The sequence below is a fragment of the Homo sapiens genome, chromosome 11 (genome assembly GCF_000001405.40).
Source record: "Homo sapiens chromosome 11, GRCh38.p14 Primary Assembly".
In the NCBI taxonomy this organism is placed as follows: domain Eukaryota; kingdom Metazoa; phylum Chordata; class Mammalia; order Primates; family Hominidae; genus Homo; species Homo sapiens.
In genome coordinates, this window is record NC_000011.10 from 108,716,928 (window position 1) to 108,732,338 (window position 15,411).

Consider the following 15,411-nt stretch of genomic DNA (forward strand, 5'->3'; position numbering starts at 1 on the left):
TTTTTTAAAGTTTTTAGAATATTCCACAGTAGATTCTTCGGTAAAAGATGTGAAATTATTTTTCATTATGCTTTCCAATCTTTCTAATCTTTGAATTAACAGATATTTGAGTTCTTATCATTTTCACCTGTCCTTTATTGCCATTTATTGCATTTACAAGATCTTTGCATCTCCCATAGCATATCAGCAATGAGCCAGAGAGTAGGGATTCAGAGGTTGGATTCTATTTCAGCAGATAGATGAGGTGGGAGGAAGAATATAAAGAAGAGTTATAGAAAGGTCACCCTAAGTCGATAGGGTAGCCTGAGCAGAAAAACATTCAATAGTTAGGGTTTTATGTAATGGTTTTGAAACTGTTATTCCTGGCAAAGAAGTAAGTTTTTTTGTTTGTTTGTTTTTGATACGCAGTTTCGCTTTTATTATCCAGGCTGGAGTGCAATGGCGTGATCTTGGCTCATCGCAACCTCCGCCTCCCGGGTTCAGGTGATTCTCCTGCTTCAGCCTCCCGAGTAGCTGGGATTACAGGCATGCGCCACCACACCCGGCCAATTTTTTGTATTTTTAGTAGAGATAGGGTTTCACCATGTTGGCCAGGCTGGTCTCAAAACTCCTGGCCTCAAGTGATCCGCTTGCCTTGGCCTCCCAAAGTGCTGGTATTACAAGCGTGAACCACCACGCCCAGCCAGAAGTAAGTTTTATATAAAGAAGAGATCTTAAATTTTTTGCTAACTTATTTTATATTTTAGCAAATTATCATTGGTGTGCTTAGAATAACATTAATGATGAGGCTAAAATTTAAGTGCTTACTGTGTGCCAGGTACTTAGTTATGACAAAACTGTTTTACATGCGTTGTTACCTAATCTTCCAGACAACCAGTGAGGTAGGTGGTATTGATTTGACTGTACAAATGGGTAAATGCTAGCTTGAAAATTAAAAAATGTCTTGGATGGCTGGTTGGGGTGGCTCATGCCTATAATCCCAGCACTTTGGGAGGCTGAGGTGGGTGGATCACTTGAGGCTGGGAGTTTGAGACCAACCAGGCCAACAGGGTGAAACCCTGTCTCTACTAAAAACAATGACAAAAAAATTAGCTGGGTGTGGTGGTGCATGCCTGTAATGCCAGCTACTTGGGTGGCTGAGGCATGAGAATTCCTTGAACCCTGGAAGCAGAGGTTATAGTGAGCCAAGATTGTGCCATTGCACTGCAGCTGGCCTACAGAGCGAGGCTCTGTCTCAAAAAAAAAAAAAAATTGTCTAGAGTAACATAGTTATTAAGTGGAAGACCTGAGACTGAACTCCAGGTCTAGCTTTCTTGAGATCTACTGTGTTATATCAGGAGAAATTAATTCCAAAATATGAGAGCATCAAATGGTAAGCTATACCAAGTTGGACTTCTATAAGCTCACTTTACCTGAGAACCTTTTCATTAAAGGATCTTTGAACAAATGGTTAATATTCATTTTTCTTAAAAATGAATAGGCATGCAAACATGTACATTTTTTTTCTAGCAAACATCCTTCAAACTTGCAGTTGAAACCTAGGAGCTTTGGAAGTAGTACACACATTTAAAAATATTAGATTAATTTTGGTATGTCATGACTTACTGCATGCCTAAGAGGTCATTCAGTTATCTATCAGAAAATATGAAACATTGGAAAGATGTTTTTTCACTGGTTTGTGCATACAACGGATGAGCCTTCCAGAACACTGATTATAGAAAAGTGTGTTGAAATAAATGATGTGATTTATTGGTTGTCACGCATGGTTTAGCAGAATGGCCAACTGTGTTGCCAGCAGCAGCAAGCTATCTAGTTTCATAGAAGTGATTTTCTAGGTTTTGATTATAATCTGGATAGAACAAAAGTGATAAGCAACTGAGGTGATTGCTTGTGGATGATTGTAGGGGAAAAAATTATTTTTAAACTGGTGCCATTCATTGTTTTTTATGCCTATGGAGACAGAAAATGGTTTGGAGATTAGTTGGGTAGAAAGGATTAGTGTAAAGCTAGATAAAACATGAAGTTTAGGAAGTATGCAAACAGGAACTAAATATACTTTACAAAAGTCAACTTAAAAAATTACCTAGATGAGTTTTGTTATCTGTGTATTTGACAAACTGATAAAGGATCAGGACCCTGTTTATATTCTGGTTTGTGTAACTCTAGTATGAAGATAGTTTTTTTTTTTTTTTTTTTTAACAGAAACAAAATATTCCAAGTTAATGATGAATTACTTGAAATCATAAAAAAGAAAAGCTTTAGCAATAAAGTTTTTCCTGAAATGGTTTTATTAAATCTCAATATGTAAAATTTTATTTAATTGAAAACCTTATCTTTTGATACAATAATACAAAATATTATCAATAACTAGCATTTGTTGTTACTATATTCCAGAAAATATGCTAGGTATCTACATGCATTCTTCTAATTTTATTCTCATAACACTCTAAGTAGAAGGTAATGTATCCCTTTTTTGATAGATGAGGATACTGACATGTAGAGAAACAAGAAATTTGCTCAGTGAGTAAGAGTTTAAGCTTTGAATAGATTCCAAATCTATATTATTCCAAAGCCTATATTTTCCCCATGGTGTACCTTATTGTAATGGAATTATACTGACTTTTAGAGTAGCCTTTTGGAAAGAAGATATTCTGGGTTAGGTTGGCTTGAAACCAAATGCAAAGTTTTTTTCTAATATTACAGTTCTAAAAGGTAGGTTTTCATGTGTGCATGGAATGGAGATATACTGAACTATTTCGTGGTTTTTCAGTACTATTGAATTTATCCCATTGGCTAATTTTCTTATATTTTGGTCTAAACTCATTTTTAATTTCTATTATATTGTACTTTTCAACCTCTTAATTTACAGTGTTTCGTCTCCTATGTACGATCTGTATATCTGATGAAGGATAAAGAAGTATTTGATGTGAGCAAGTTACCTATACCTGAATATGCCCTGTAAGTATTCATAATATAGTTGTAATAGTGAATCCTCAAGGTTAGAGGGAATTAATTAATTAATTTAGAGATGGGGTCTTGCTATGTTGCCCAGGCTGTCTCAAACCCCTGTGCTCCAGCAGTCCACCCACCTCAACTTCCTGAAGTGTTAGGACTACAGGCGTAAGCCACCACACCCGGCCAGAGAGAATTTGTTTGAAACCTGGTTCTCTGAGATTCTTAGTTTAAGCCACTCTGCCTTACGTTAAAAGAATCTGTTTGTTAAAGATTCTCAGTGGAAAAGATGAAATTGACTTGGCAGAAAATTAGTTCAGTGTTCAGTTCTTGTTAATCAGGGAGCAGTTTATTATTTGTAAGTATAAATTCCTTAAAGTGACATTGGCCATTTCCTATAGTTTGATCTTAAAGGAGACAGAGAGCAACCAATAAGCATTCTTTGAAATCTTTAAGTGTCTATAGTTTTCTCGTTCTCTGAAACCCTTGCCTGGATTACCATAGACATTTTATGCTTTGAATGTGAGCCTCTTTGCTGATTCTTCTTATGTTAGGTTGTTTTCTTCAATTGCTTACTGCCTGAATATTCCTCCTGTCTTGGTGTTTCTTACAGGTACTCATAGTTACTATGGCAAGATGCTCCTTTTTAGTAACTGAGGTTACTATTGTATGAAACAGAATGGCTGGTTTTGTTTTGGCTTAGTATTTGAGGGATTTTTTGCGGGGGAGGAGACAGGGTCTTATTCTGTCACCCAGGCCATAGTGCAGTGGTGTGATCATGGCTCACTGCATCCTTGACCTCCCAGGCTTAGGTGATCCTCTCATCTCAGCCTCCTGAGTAGCTGGGACTACAGGTGCATGCTACCATGGCTGGCTAGTTTTTTTGTAATTTTTGTAGAGATAGGGTTTCGCCATGTTGCCCAGGCTGGTTTCAAACTCCTGGGCTCAAGTGATCCCCCCACCTCAGCCTTCCAAAGTGCTGGCATTACAGGTGTGAGCCACTGTGCCTGGCCGGGTTTTTTTTTTTTTTTTAAACCTTTTGACCTATAAAGAAGGAATGTTTATTCTTCAGTGGGCTCTTACTGTGGGAGTGGTAAAAACATTGGCACAATCTTATAGAAGCACCTTTGAGATAATCATACTTTGAATATCAGCATGAAATTTCCCAGACTATGGTGAAATATGTGATTACAAGGCAAGGTCTGTATGTTTGGCTTGCTCTTAGGAATTTGAGTGCCTTTACCTTTAAACTGAGTCTAACTACAACATATATCTAAGTGAGCTGTCGTTTTCTATTCTCTGTTAGATTGTATGTTTACCATAACAGGTAATATGTCAGTTATTACATTTTTGAACCTTTTAAATTGCTTTATAGCAGTGTAGGGCTGCTGACTTTCCATTTAAGTGACAGATGGAAAGCCACATGCCATGGATAACATGTTGTTGTTTGCTCATATGTTTAAATACCAGTTCCTAGTTTTATTATTTCTGAATATGATCCATGGCTTAGGTTATTAGTGGACTTTTGGCTCCCTGTTAATTTTTATCATGGTTTTCTGATTTGACCTACCTTGATATTAGCAGATAGGAAAGGCACAGGTCTTTAACACTGTAGGCCATATTTAGGGGACCATTTGTTGCAATAGATTCCAGTAAATTTTATCTATTGGTAGTTGATGACTTTTGCTTTTTGTGATGCTTAGAGAAGGCAGAAAATTAACGTTGAGAACAAATTTTAGTATAGTTGAGTTTGGTATTTTAATTTTTTTAGATATTTAGCTATGTTGTTTCCTTGAGGTATGTAATTTCCTTTAGAAGCCTTTGATACCTAAAGCAGTGCTGTGTATGTAAGATATATTAAAGGTTTTAAAATTTTACTAAAGAAACATGTTTTGAATACCTAATATGTGCAGGTCATTGTACTAGATGTTAAATTGTAGATGTATAAGATGTACTGCTGCCTTCAATAAACTCAGTTTTGGTAGCTGAGAGAGACATAAAAATGTAAGTGCAATACATTGAGTGAAATTCTCTGGATGAGTTTGTGATCCTAACCCTAACAGTGGTGATGGTGATGACATCAAGTTCTCATTAGTTCCCTATATGCCAGGCACTAGTTTTAACAGCATTACATCTGTCAACTAATTTATTCTTACAACAACCCTGTGAGGTAGGTACTCTTAGCATCCCGTTTTGCAAATGGGAAAGCTCCGGTATGGAAAGATTAAATCATATTCGTAAGATCTCACAGCTAGTAAGTGGCAGCCAGATTTTGAACCCCAGCAGTCTTATTTCTGAATCCATGCTTCTCAGCATTACATCTCTCAGTTTCTTTGAACCATGTCAGATAGGAAAAGAGCAGTGGGTCCATGTTATGATGTTACTGTTTATTCAGAGCAATCCTTGATAAAATCTAAGATTTTATTTCCCTTCGATCATTGAGAACTTAATGAAGCTATTAGCTTTGATCCAAGCTGGGAAAGACATGATAATAAATTGAATATTGATCATTGATGGAGAAAACAATATTTTTTAATTTCTTTTTTTGGTGTTTGGTTTATAAAATCCATTTTTATAGCAATGATTGTGCCATATTCTCTTTTAGGAAGGGAGATGGGGACCACATTCCAGTTCTTTCTCTGTAGAGAACTGTTTTGTCCTTTCATGGTCATGTCTTCTCTGGTTTATTTAGTACTTAACATTTTATGAGGTACTCTCATGTAGTTAGTTAATTGGATCCTTACAGCAACTGTGAGTTAGGCCTGGCAGGTACTGTTATCCCCATGTTATAAGGAAGCTGAAGCTGAGAGGGTTGAATTGGAAATTGGCAGGTCTAGTACTTGAACTGTTATCTTGTTTCTGGTCCAGTGCTCTTTATCTTATTCCATGTTACCCTCTTAAAGAAAAAATAGTGTCTAAAATGTTTTCTGACAGGTGTTGAGTGTATTTTGCCTTACTTTTTGGATCAACTAACCTGTTAGTATTGAGTTGTATCTCACAGGAACATTTTCTTTAAAAAAGCTCTAGGAATCTCTGCTCTTGAGAAACTCTTCTATGACACCTATAAACATATCATCAGTGTTGAGATGACTGTTTTCACGTTTTTCCATATTTAAGGTCTCTTGGTCTTGCTGTGGCACCACGCGTAAGATTTCTTCAGAAAATGCAGAAACAACCCACCAAAGAATTGGTAAGGAGCCAAGCCGATAAAGTAATTGAGCCAAGGGCTCCCTCCCTCACCAATGACGAAGTGGAAGAATTTAGAGCCTACTTCAATGAGAAAATGTCCATCCTTCAAAAAGGTGGAAAAAGACTCGAAGGGACAGAGCACAGACAGGATAATGATACTGGTAATGAAGAACAGGAAGAAGAAGAAGACGATGAAGAAGAAATGGAAGAGAAACTGGCAAAAGCAAAAGGATCTCAAGCCCCATCTCTTCCTAACACCAGTGAGGCACAGAAGATCAAGGAAGTTCCTACACAGTTCTTGGACAGAGATGAGGAGGAAGAAGATGCTGATTTCTTGAAGGTGAAGCGGCATAATGTGTTTGGATTGGACCTTAAAGACGAGAAAACATTACAGGTAAGTTTACTCCCAGTGGAGGGTCTTCTATTACATTGTCTTACTATGTGCTTATTGTTGCCTTTTGGGGACTGAGAGAAAGTGAAAACTAAGAAACTTAGACTGGGTTTCTTTGCAATGAACTCTTCCTCCTTTCCCCCATACTTAAACACAGAATAAGTGCCAATGAATTTTCATATTTTTCATAACTTTGGGAGCTCTAAGAGGTTAACAACTTTAATCTTATTTACTGGTTTTCTGATGCTGTGTTTTAAAAGTTGCCAAAGTCCTGATTAAGTCTCAAAGGAAGGCAATGAAGTTTTTTGGTTTATGGCATGAGGATCCTTCGTTAAAATTCTTAAGATACTGCTTTCTGATTGATTAAATTATAAGGAACAGTTGTAATTATTTAAATATAAGTTTTACTCTTAGTGCGACATTTGTTTATGGGAACCAAGCCAGTGTCTTAAATAGAAATTGAACAGTTCTTTTTTAAAGGCTACTTATGAATGTTTATGAAAAGTTTTCCTGTAAATCCTTTGTTTCTCCGTAGCCATCTTCTAGGAGGAACAAAAGAAATAATCCATTTAGATAAAGCACTTGTTTTCTAGGATGCTTTTGTAGGTGCACAGTAAATGTGTTTCCCCTTCTCCCTTATTCCCCTTCCTACTTCATATGCCTTTATTCTTGATCATCTTTTTAAAAGGGAATTGAATAAAAAATGAAGCTTGATTCTTACTCTTTATACAATGTTGAATAAAATTTCAAGATTCACAGTAGGAAATACATAATAGATTTTGACTGTGAAACTTAGAAGAGTGTTTCTTTAAGTAACTAAAAATTAAAAAAAAAACCTAGAAAATGTGCTTATTGAACACTTAATATGTGTTATGTGTTAGTCATTTTCTGAACATTATCTCATTTAGTGCTTGAAATAAAGGTCGTTACTACTATCTCATTATACAGGTGACGGAAAAAAAATAACTGTGGCACAGAAGCAATATAGTACTGTAGTGAGGCACACAGGTAGTAAATGGCAAAGCTGGAATTTGAACATAGGTGTTCTGACTTTAATATTTATGCTCTTGTCCAATAATCCTGTACTGTCTCATCCTGCTTCAAATTAGATCATTTTAAGTCTGTAGTTAAGACTCATTTTATCAGCAAAGTAAATACAAGAAGTTAGATTTTCGTTTTAAATAATTTAGCCACTGTATTAACTATTATGTATATCACTTTCTAAGAATCATGAACATAACCAAAGCTTCAAATTAAGATGAGAAGGAATGATATAGTTTTATAATACCATGAATTGTTCACGTAAGTAGGACATGTGTCTAAGTACTAATAGCTCATCTGGCATTTGAAAAATGTATATAGCAAAACAACTTTTTAAGCTTTTAAAAAAGTTTTACTCTATGTCAGTTATCTAAATCAATCTAACTCTTTAATATATACAGTTTGAGTTTTGGCAAATGTATGGTGTTGTGTAATTACCACAATTAAGAATAGAACAGCGTCATCACCCCAAAACATTTCTTATTCCCTTTGCAATTGCTTTACCCTTCACTCAACCTCTGGCAACCACTGATCTGATTTCTACCCCTGTAGTGTTGCATTTTTCAGAATGATATATAAATAGGATAATACAGTATTTAGTCTTTTGTGTCTAGCTTCTTTCATTTAGCTTAACGTTATTGCATGCATCAGTAGTTTGTTCCTTTTAATTGCTGAGTAAGTATTTCATTGGATGGATGTAGGTTTTCTTAAGCTTTAAATTGGCATTGGTTGTTTCCATTTTTTGGTGATTATGACAAAAGTCATTATAAACATATACATTTTTATGTAGATAATTTTCTCATTTCTTGGGGAAACGAGTGGGGTTATTTTCTAGGAATAGGGTTACTGGGAACATATGTTAAGGGTATATTTAACTTTGAGAAACTCCCCAGTTGTTTTCCAAATCAGCTCTTCCAATTTGTGTTCTTGCCAGCAGTGTATAGAGTTCGAGTTGCATCCCATCGTGTCAGCACATGGTATTGTCAGTCTTTTAATTTTAGCCATTCTAGTAGGCATGTAGTGATACCCTACTGCAGTTTTAATTTGCATTTCCCTAATGACTGAACATCTCTACATGTGCTTATTTGCCATTCATATATCTTCTTTGGTGAAATGTCTTCAAGTCTTTTGTCTCTCTTTTGAAATTGTGTTGCCTTAGTAAGTTCTACGAGTTCTTTGTATATTCTGAATACATATCCTTAATCAGATATATTTTGCTAATACTTTCTCCCAATCTATGGCTTGTTTTTATTTTGAGTGTCTGGCAAAGAGCAGGTATCTTAAATTTTGAAGTCTGATTTCAATCACATTTTAGGTAATTTATATATGTGTCGTATCTGATAAATCTGTGATTGACCCAAAGTCACAGATTTTCTCCTATGTTCTCGTCCAGAGGTTTTATAGTTTTAGCACTTACAATTTGGGCTAGGATCCTCTTCACCTTAATTTTTGTATATAATGCTAAGTAAGGGTCAAGGTACACTTTTTTTTGCATATGGGTATCCAGTTGATCCAGTACCATTTGTTTGGAAAAAACTATGCTTTTTCCATTGAATTACCTTGACTCTTTGAAAGTCAGTTGACTTTCAAAGATACGTCTGTCCTTTCACCAATAACACCAATCTTGATTAGTGTAGCTTTATACTAAGTCTTAAATCAGATCTTTGAGTCTGTCAACTGATATATATTTTCTTAAAATTGCTTTGGTTATTTTTGGACCATGGCATTTTCATGTAAGGTTTTGAATCAGCTAGTTACTTCGTATAAAAAGCTTGCCGATGACTTCATTGAGGTTGCATTGAATCTGTAAATCTAACTGGAGAGAATTGACATCATAACAATACCTTTTTATTTAGGCCTTCTTTAGTGTCTTTTTAGCATTGCTTTATAACTTTAAGCACATGTAATGTGCACATATTTTGTTAGAGTCATCTCTTACTATTTGATATTTTTTAATGCTATCATAAATGGTATTTTTAAAATTTCAATTTCCAATTATTTGTTGCCAGTATATAGAAATAGTTTGTTTTTTGTAGACTGATCATTCTAAACTGACCTGTTAGTTCTTGTGGCTTTTTGGGAGTTTCTTGGGATTTTCTTTTGTAACTGATTATGAGGTTTGTGAATGAGGATGGTTTCATTTCTTCCTTTTTCATCTGTGGACCATATATTTCTTTTTTCTTTCTTTTTCTTTTGCTTGATTTTACCGAGTAGGATCTGTGGAATAGAAGTGGTGAGAGTAGATATTGCTGTGTTGTTCCTGATCTTACTGAGGGGGAAGCATTCAGTCTTTTACCATTACATCTGATGTTAGCTGTAAGTTTTTTTTGTAAATGCCTATGAGTTTGAGAAGCTTCCATCTATTCCTAGCTGGCTTAGTGTTTTTATGATAAAATGAATTGTGACTTGTGTCAGATGCTTTTTCTGTAAACATTAAGGTGATGACGTGGTGGTTTTTAGCCTGTTGATTATGGTGTATTGATTTCCCCCTGCTACATGTTGAATCAAATTTAAATTCCTTTGAAAAACTCCATTTAAGCAAGATTTCTTTATATTTATATTATAGGATTCTATTTGCTAATATTTTCGTTAAGGATCTTTCTGTTGTTGTGAGGGATATTGGTTTGCAGTTTTCTTTTTTTGCGATGACTTGACTGGGAATATGACACATTTTGAAAGCTTTTTATATGTTTTGCCAGCATAGAGGTCATGTTGATCGTTGCCCTACTAGCGTCTGTATTGTTTGAATCTCTTTTTGATTCCAATATGAATATTAATAATTTATATCAATATTAACAGTTATTTAGAAAGTTATGATTTCTTTCTTAATTTGTGTATATATTGCTTACACATATTTTTCCCTGTTATGATATTAGTCTCTTTCCTGTTGATTCGTAAGATGTCCTCAAACAGTAAAGTTATTGTCTCTGGCTTTTAACTTTGCTTTGTGTCCCTTGTCACACACAGTTGTTCATTTCCCTGCCTTCTCTACTTTATTCCAAATTCCTTGAAATGTTGTCTTTTGTTTACTCAAGTAAAAATACTCAGAATTTTATTGCCATATGAATAAATTCAGAATTGTATTCTCACTTTAAACAGTAGGGTTCTTGATTTTATTTTCTATTTTAGAAATCAATTAATAGCTAATTTAAAAAAATCCATTACACCCACAATCAAAACAGTAAAAATTCACATTCTGTTTTTTTTAAAATGTTAACTACTAAGGTACAATGTCCTTACCTAACGTCAGTGTCTAAGTTTTCTTGTTTGGACCGTTTTATACTTTCAAGTATAGATTCACATTCACTTAGGAATGACTAAGTCTTTTTAGTCATTCCTAGAAAGGACACATAGAAAATACATGTGAAGAGATCATCAACTATTTCATCCTTCAACTTTAGCGTTCCTATTTGAACAACTACATTTTCATTTTATGCTGTGACAAGGGCATGGTTAAAGATGAGTGAAAACATGATCCTTATGGGTACATTTTAGTAAATGCAAATTTTATTAAGTTGGGGGAAAAAAGTCCTAGAAAAATGAAAAAAGAAAAAAAAAACCCAGAAAGCACACACAGTATACAAGCCCATTTGAAAATTATTTTTAAATTCAACAGACATGAAATTACTTTGGCAAATTGCTGTAAAAATTTAAATGCTCATTCTAAGAAAACAACAACAACAAGCCCTTTTCCTAACTTAGGTTCCTTTCCTCTCAGTCCTGCTCAGACTTAGTGTTTCTCACATCCAGGGCACCAGAGATGATGTTCTTCCAAGGTTGAGTGCTCTGTTCTTGAGGGGCAGGGCGGGGGACTCTGCAAGAGTGGTTTTGAGAAAAATTTCCTGTAAAATACCCTTTTACCCAGATTATAAAATGCTTATTTTTGGTGGAAAATCTCTAGTAAAACACAGAAAATCACAAATAAAAATAAAAATAACCTGTAATTTCACCACCTAGAGATAACAACTGTCTTTGTTTTTTTAAGTATACATACACATTTGTTCTTTTTTTTTTTTTTTTTTTTTTTTTTTAGAAATAGGGTCTCGCTCTGTCACACAGGCTAGAAGGCAGTGGCATGATTGTGGCTCACTGTACCCCCAAACTCCCAGGCCCAAGCGATTCTTCTGCCCTAGCCTCCTGAGTAGCTAGGACTTCAGGTGTATGCTACCATGCCTGGGTAATTTTTAAAAATTTTTTTGTAGAGGTGGGTTCTTTCTGTGTTCCCCAGGATGGTCTCAAACTCTTGGCCTCAAGTGATCCTCTCACCTTGGCCTACCAAAGTGCTGAGCTGACAGGCAGTAAGCCGCTGTGCCCTGCTCATATACCCATTTTTAAATAAGTGAGATGCTCCTAGGTATATATATTTCCCCATGTCATTAAAGTGTCTTCGCAAATATTTTTATGGTTGCCTAATATGCCATTAACCTTTATTTAACCATTCTCCTGCTGTTGGATACTTAGGTTAATATCCTTTTTTTGAATCTCCGTTTAAAGAGTTCTACTAATTGGCAGGTTTCTTCTCTCCTTCACTTTCACTACTCTCACCAGCATAACATGGAACTGATTCTACAGTTCGAAAATGCAAGATAGGAATCTTCTCCTTATCTCATGTAAACACTTACTTTATAGTAATTGTTTCAAAAATTTTACCCCCAAATGATTACCGAGCTTACACATATTAGGGCATAAGATGACCTAGGTCTCTTTGGGTTATCGACAGGGTTCTAAGAGGGCCCCAGTGACACTACGTAATACCTCCTTATGCCGCTCTTATTGAAGGAGGGTCACAAATTCCTCCAGACCATATTCAGATCTGCTCATCTCCATCCAGAGAGGTTTTAGCACATCACAGCTTGCTCCTGGCCTGATAAACTATCAGTCCCTGAGGAGTGATTGAATAACCCACATTTCAGTAACTACCATAAAATATGATTCTGCATCCACTCAGTGGCATCGTCTCACAAGTGCCTTTGATGCAGGGAGCAGCCTCTGCTTGTGACAGTGCAGCTCGACTGAGCAAATATCCTTTTCTCAGAGTGAAAAAAACAAAACAAGGAAGAACAAAAGAAATTGTTGCAGGCCTTTTTTTTTTTCCTCCATTAAACATATGATGCCTGACTGGATTTTCTACTTTGTACTTAATAACTCACTTGTTAATACTATACATCAGGCCAGGCATAGTGGCCCACACCTGTAATCCCTCTGAGGTGGGAGGACCACTTGAGCCCAGAAGTCCAGGGCTACAGCAAGCCACGACACTCCAGCCTGAGCAACAGAGAGAGACCCTGTCTCTAAAACAAACAACACAATGCACGTCGTTAATGTACACCAGAGAGGAGATTTGGTCTGCAAATTCTTTAATGATATCTCTTGTGACCATTAGAATACCTTCCCAACTACTAGTAAGCTGATGAATCATTTTGAACATCTGGAAACATTCTTCTAAAGTTTGTTTTTTTCCCTTGTCAATCACAGTTTTGTCTGATCGTGGATTCTGGATCCATTAGTTCTAATGGATCAATTCAAGTGGGCATGAAGTTCCACTTTGGCAATTCAGAGTAAAAGCTTACCTTCCATGGCTGATGCTCTTCTGCCTCCATTATAATTTTACCAGGAAAACAATAGTCCCTCTCCACTCTTATTCTTGGTATGAACAATAGGATGTATTTCAGTCAGTAAATTCTGTGGTTCTGAATTTCCTTCAGATTGCTTTACTTCTAAACATTTCGAAAAGATTAGCTGTATGTGTAGCTCTGGGTTCAGCTTCACCTCTTAGAGATTTCTCAACCACTAGGACCTAGACAGGTTTTCCCTTATGACTGAAAGTCTCGTAGAAAAGTGACAACTCGGGCTCCCCTAACACACATCTCAGTGGTAGGGAGCTGTCTTCCTGGGAAAACATAATCCAGGGCTATCAAACAAAAGGAAAATATTGTCTTACTGATCAGTGTGTTTTCAGGGCCTGGTACAATGACTAGTGCAAATTTCACAAATATTTTGTGAATGAGGGAGTGAATTAACTGAATTTCTTATTCCTTCACTTTGGTTTTGTTTGCTGTGAGTTATATAGAACTCATAGGTAGGGTTTATTTTTGGAAAACCTGTATTTTGTGAAGTTCACCTCATGACTTACAGTGGTTCAAAAGGTATTGTTGAACTTCCTATAAATGTGAGCATAAAAAACTTACTTGACTCTAAATGATATACTTATGTAGGCCGAGCTTTATAATTTAATTTGGATAGTAAGTGGTAGTATCTAATTATAGTGTTGTAAAATTCGGTTTACTAAGACTACATTTGCATTATACTATAAGAAGTTCTATCTTTAAAGTACACACGTACCTGCATGTTTTTTTTTTTTTACTGTAATAAATTTAAAGTATTATGTCATGTCTGTTGAATATGAGGAACATTTTGGGGCAGTTGATAGGATTTTTGATGCTAAACAAGGAATGTTTTGCTGTTTCTTCCTGTACATTCCCTAGTACTGTGCACAAACAGTAGAGTTGAATTTCGTGGTTCTCCAGTTGAAATAGAAAGGCTAATTGCCGTTTCTTTTTTTTTTTTTTGAGACGGAGTCTCGCTGTGTCACCCAGGCTGGAGTGCAGTGGCCGATCTTGGCTCACTGAAACCTCTGCCTCCCAGGCTCAAGTGATTATCCTGCCTCAGCCTCCCGAGTAGCTGAGATTACAGGCACGTGCCACCACACCCAGCTAATTTTTGTATTTTTAGTAGAGACGGGGTTTCACCATGTTGGCCAGGCTGGTCTCAAACTCCTGACCTCAGGTCATCCACCTGCCTCAGCCTCTCAAAGTGCTAGGATTACAGGTGTCAGCCACCATGCCCAGCCCTTTTTTGAACTACCTCACCTAGTCTTAACTTCACCTGTTACCTACTTTCGAATTTTAAAAATTAATACTTATTTTCACTCGTGTTAATATCTTTTGATTCTTCTCCATGTTTTTAAGCAATTGGTTTTGAATGTGACCCTGCAACCGTGATCTCAATTGGGTTTCTTTTTTTTTTTTTTGAGACAGAGTCTCTCTCTGTCACCCAGATTGGAGTGCAATGGTGTCATCATGGCTCGCTGCAGCCTCGACCTTATGGGCTGAAGTGATCTTGAATTGCTGGACTCAAACCATCCTCCTGCCTCAGCCTCCCAAAGTTCTGGGATTATAGGTATAAATCACTGCACCCATCCTGGCTTTCCATTTTATCCTTTACTTTTGCATTTCATATTTTAGTGTTGTATGCATCCATCAGTCACTGGAGGCTGCTTTTTTCCTTTATTACCTATTTTTAAGGATAGACGAGATATAGAAAAATCAAATCATACATAAAATGGGAATAATACTATCATTTGCACATATAAATGAGTATATTCCCTGTGGGAAGACTAAGCACTTTTCCAGACACTGCTGACTTTGTTGAAATTTTTGTTGCTCATGTTTTAGAATTGTCTTTGTAGACACCATACCAGACACAGAAGGGAACTGGCTTTGTTACTTATAACTTATCCTCTTTATCTTGATTATCTTTTTTTCCCTTTCTTGTCTCTCTGGAAAAAGAAGATTTGTACAAGAACCAAATTGAAACTTGGAGCCAGTAGGAACCCATTGGATTGTAGATTTTATGGAATATGTCTAATAATCATATCATTATAATTAAGACCATAATTATTTGGCATTTTACCATATACTGAACACTTTCTGCATAAGTTCTCATTTTTCCTTATGACAAGAAAGGTAGCTATTAAAATTTCGGAGGAGGAAAGGAAGGCTTTTAAGTGACTTGTCCAAGGTCACAGTGGTGAAGTTAGCAGTTAAACCTATTTGTGA

At 36.0% G+C, this 15,411-nt stretch overlaps 1 protein-coding gene and 1 long non-coding RNA gene across 2 annotated transcripts in view; one reads left to right on the plus strand and one right to left on the minus strand.

Annotated features, from left to right (window-relative positions):
• The window catches only part of DDX10 (DEAD-box helicase 10), a 275,859-nt gene that overhangs the window by 51,859 nt on the left and 208,589 nt on the right, over positions 1–15,411 (plus strand). The window contains exons 12-13 of the mRNA NM_004398.4: positions 2,870–2,958; positions 6,070–6,535. Coding sequence (NP_004389.2) covers positions 2,870–2,958; positions 6,070–6,535 — 555 coding nt within the window. The remainder of the gene's footprint in view (positions 1–2,869; positions 2,959–6,069; positions 6,536–15,411) is intronic.
• LOC124902750 (uncharacterized) overlaps positions 1–15,411 on the minus strand; it is an 80,188-nt gene that overhangs the window by 17,421 nt on the left and 47,356 nt on the right. The gene's annotated exons all lie outside the window — the stretch shown is intronic.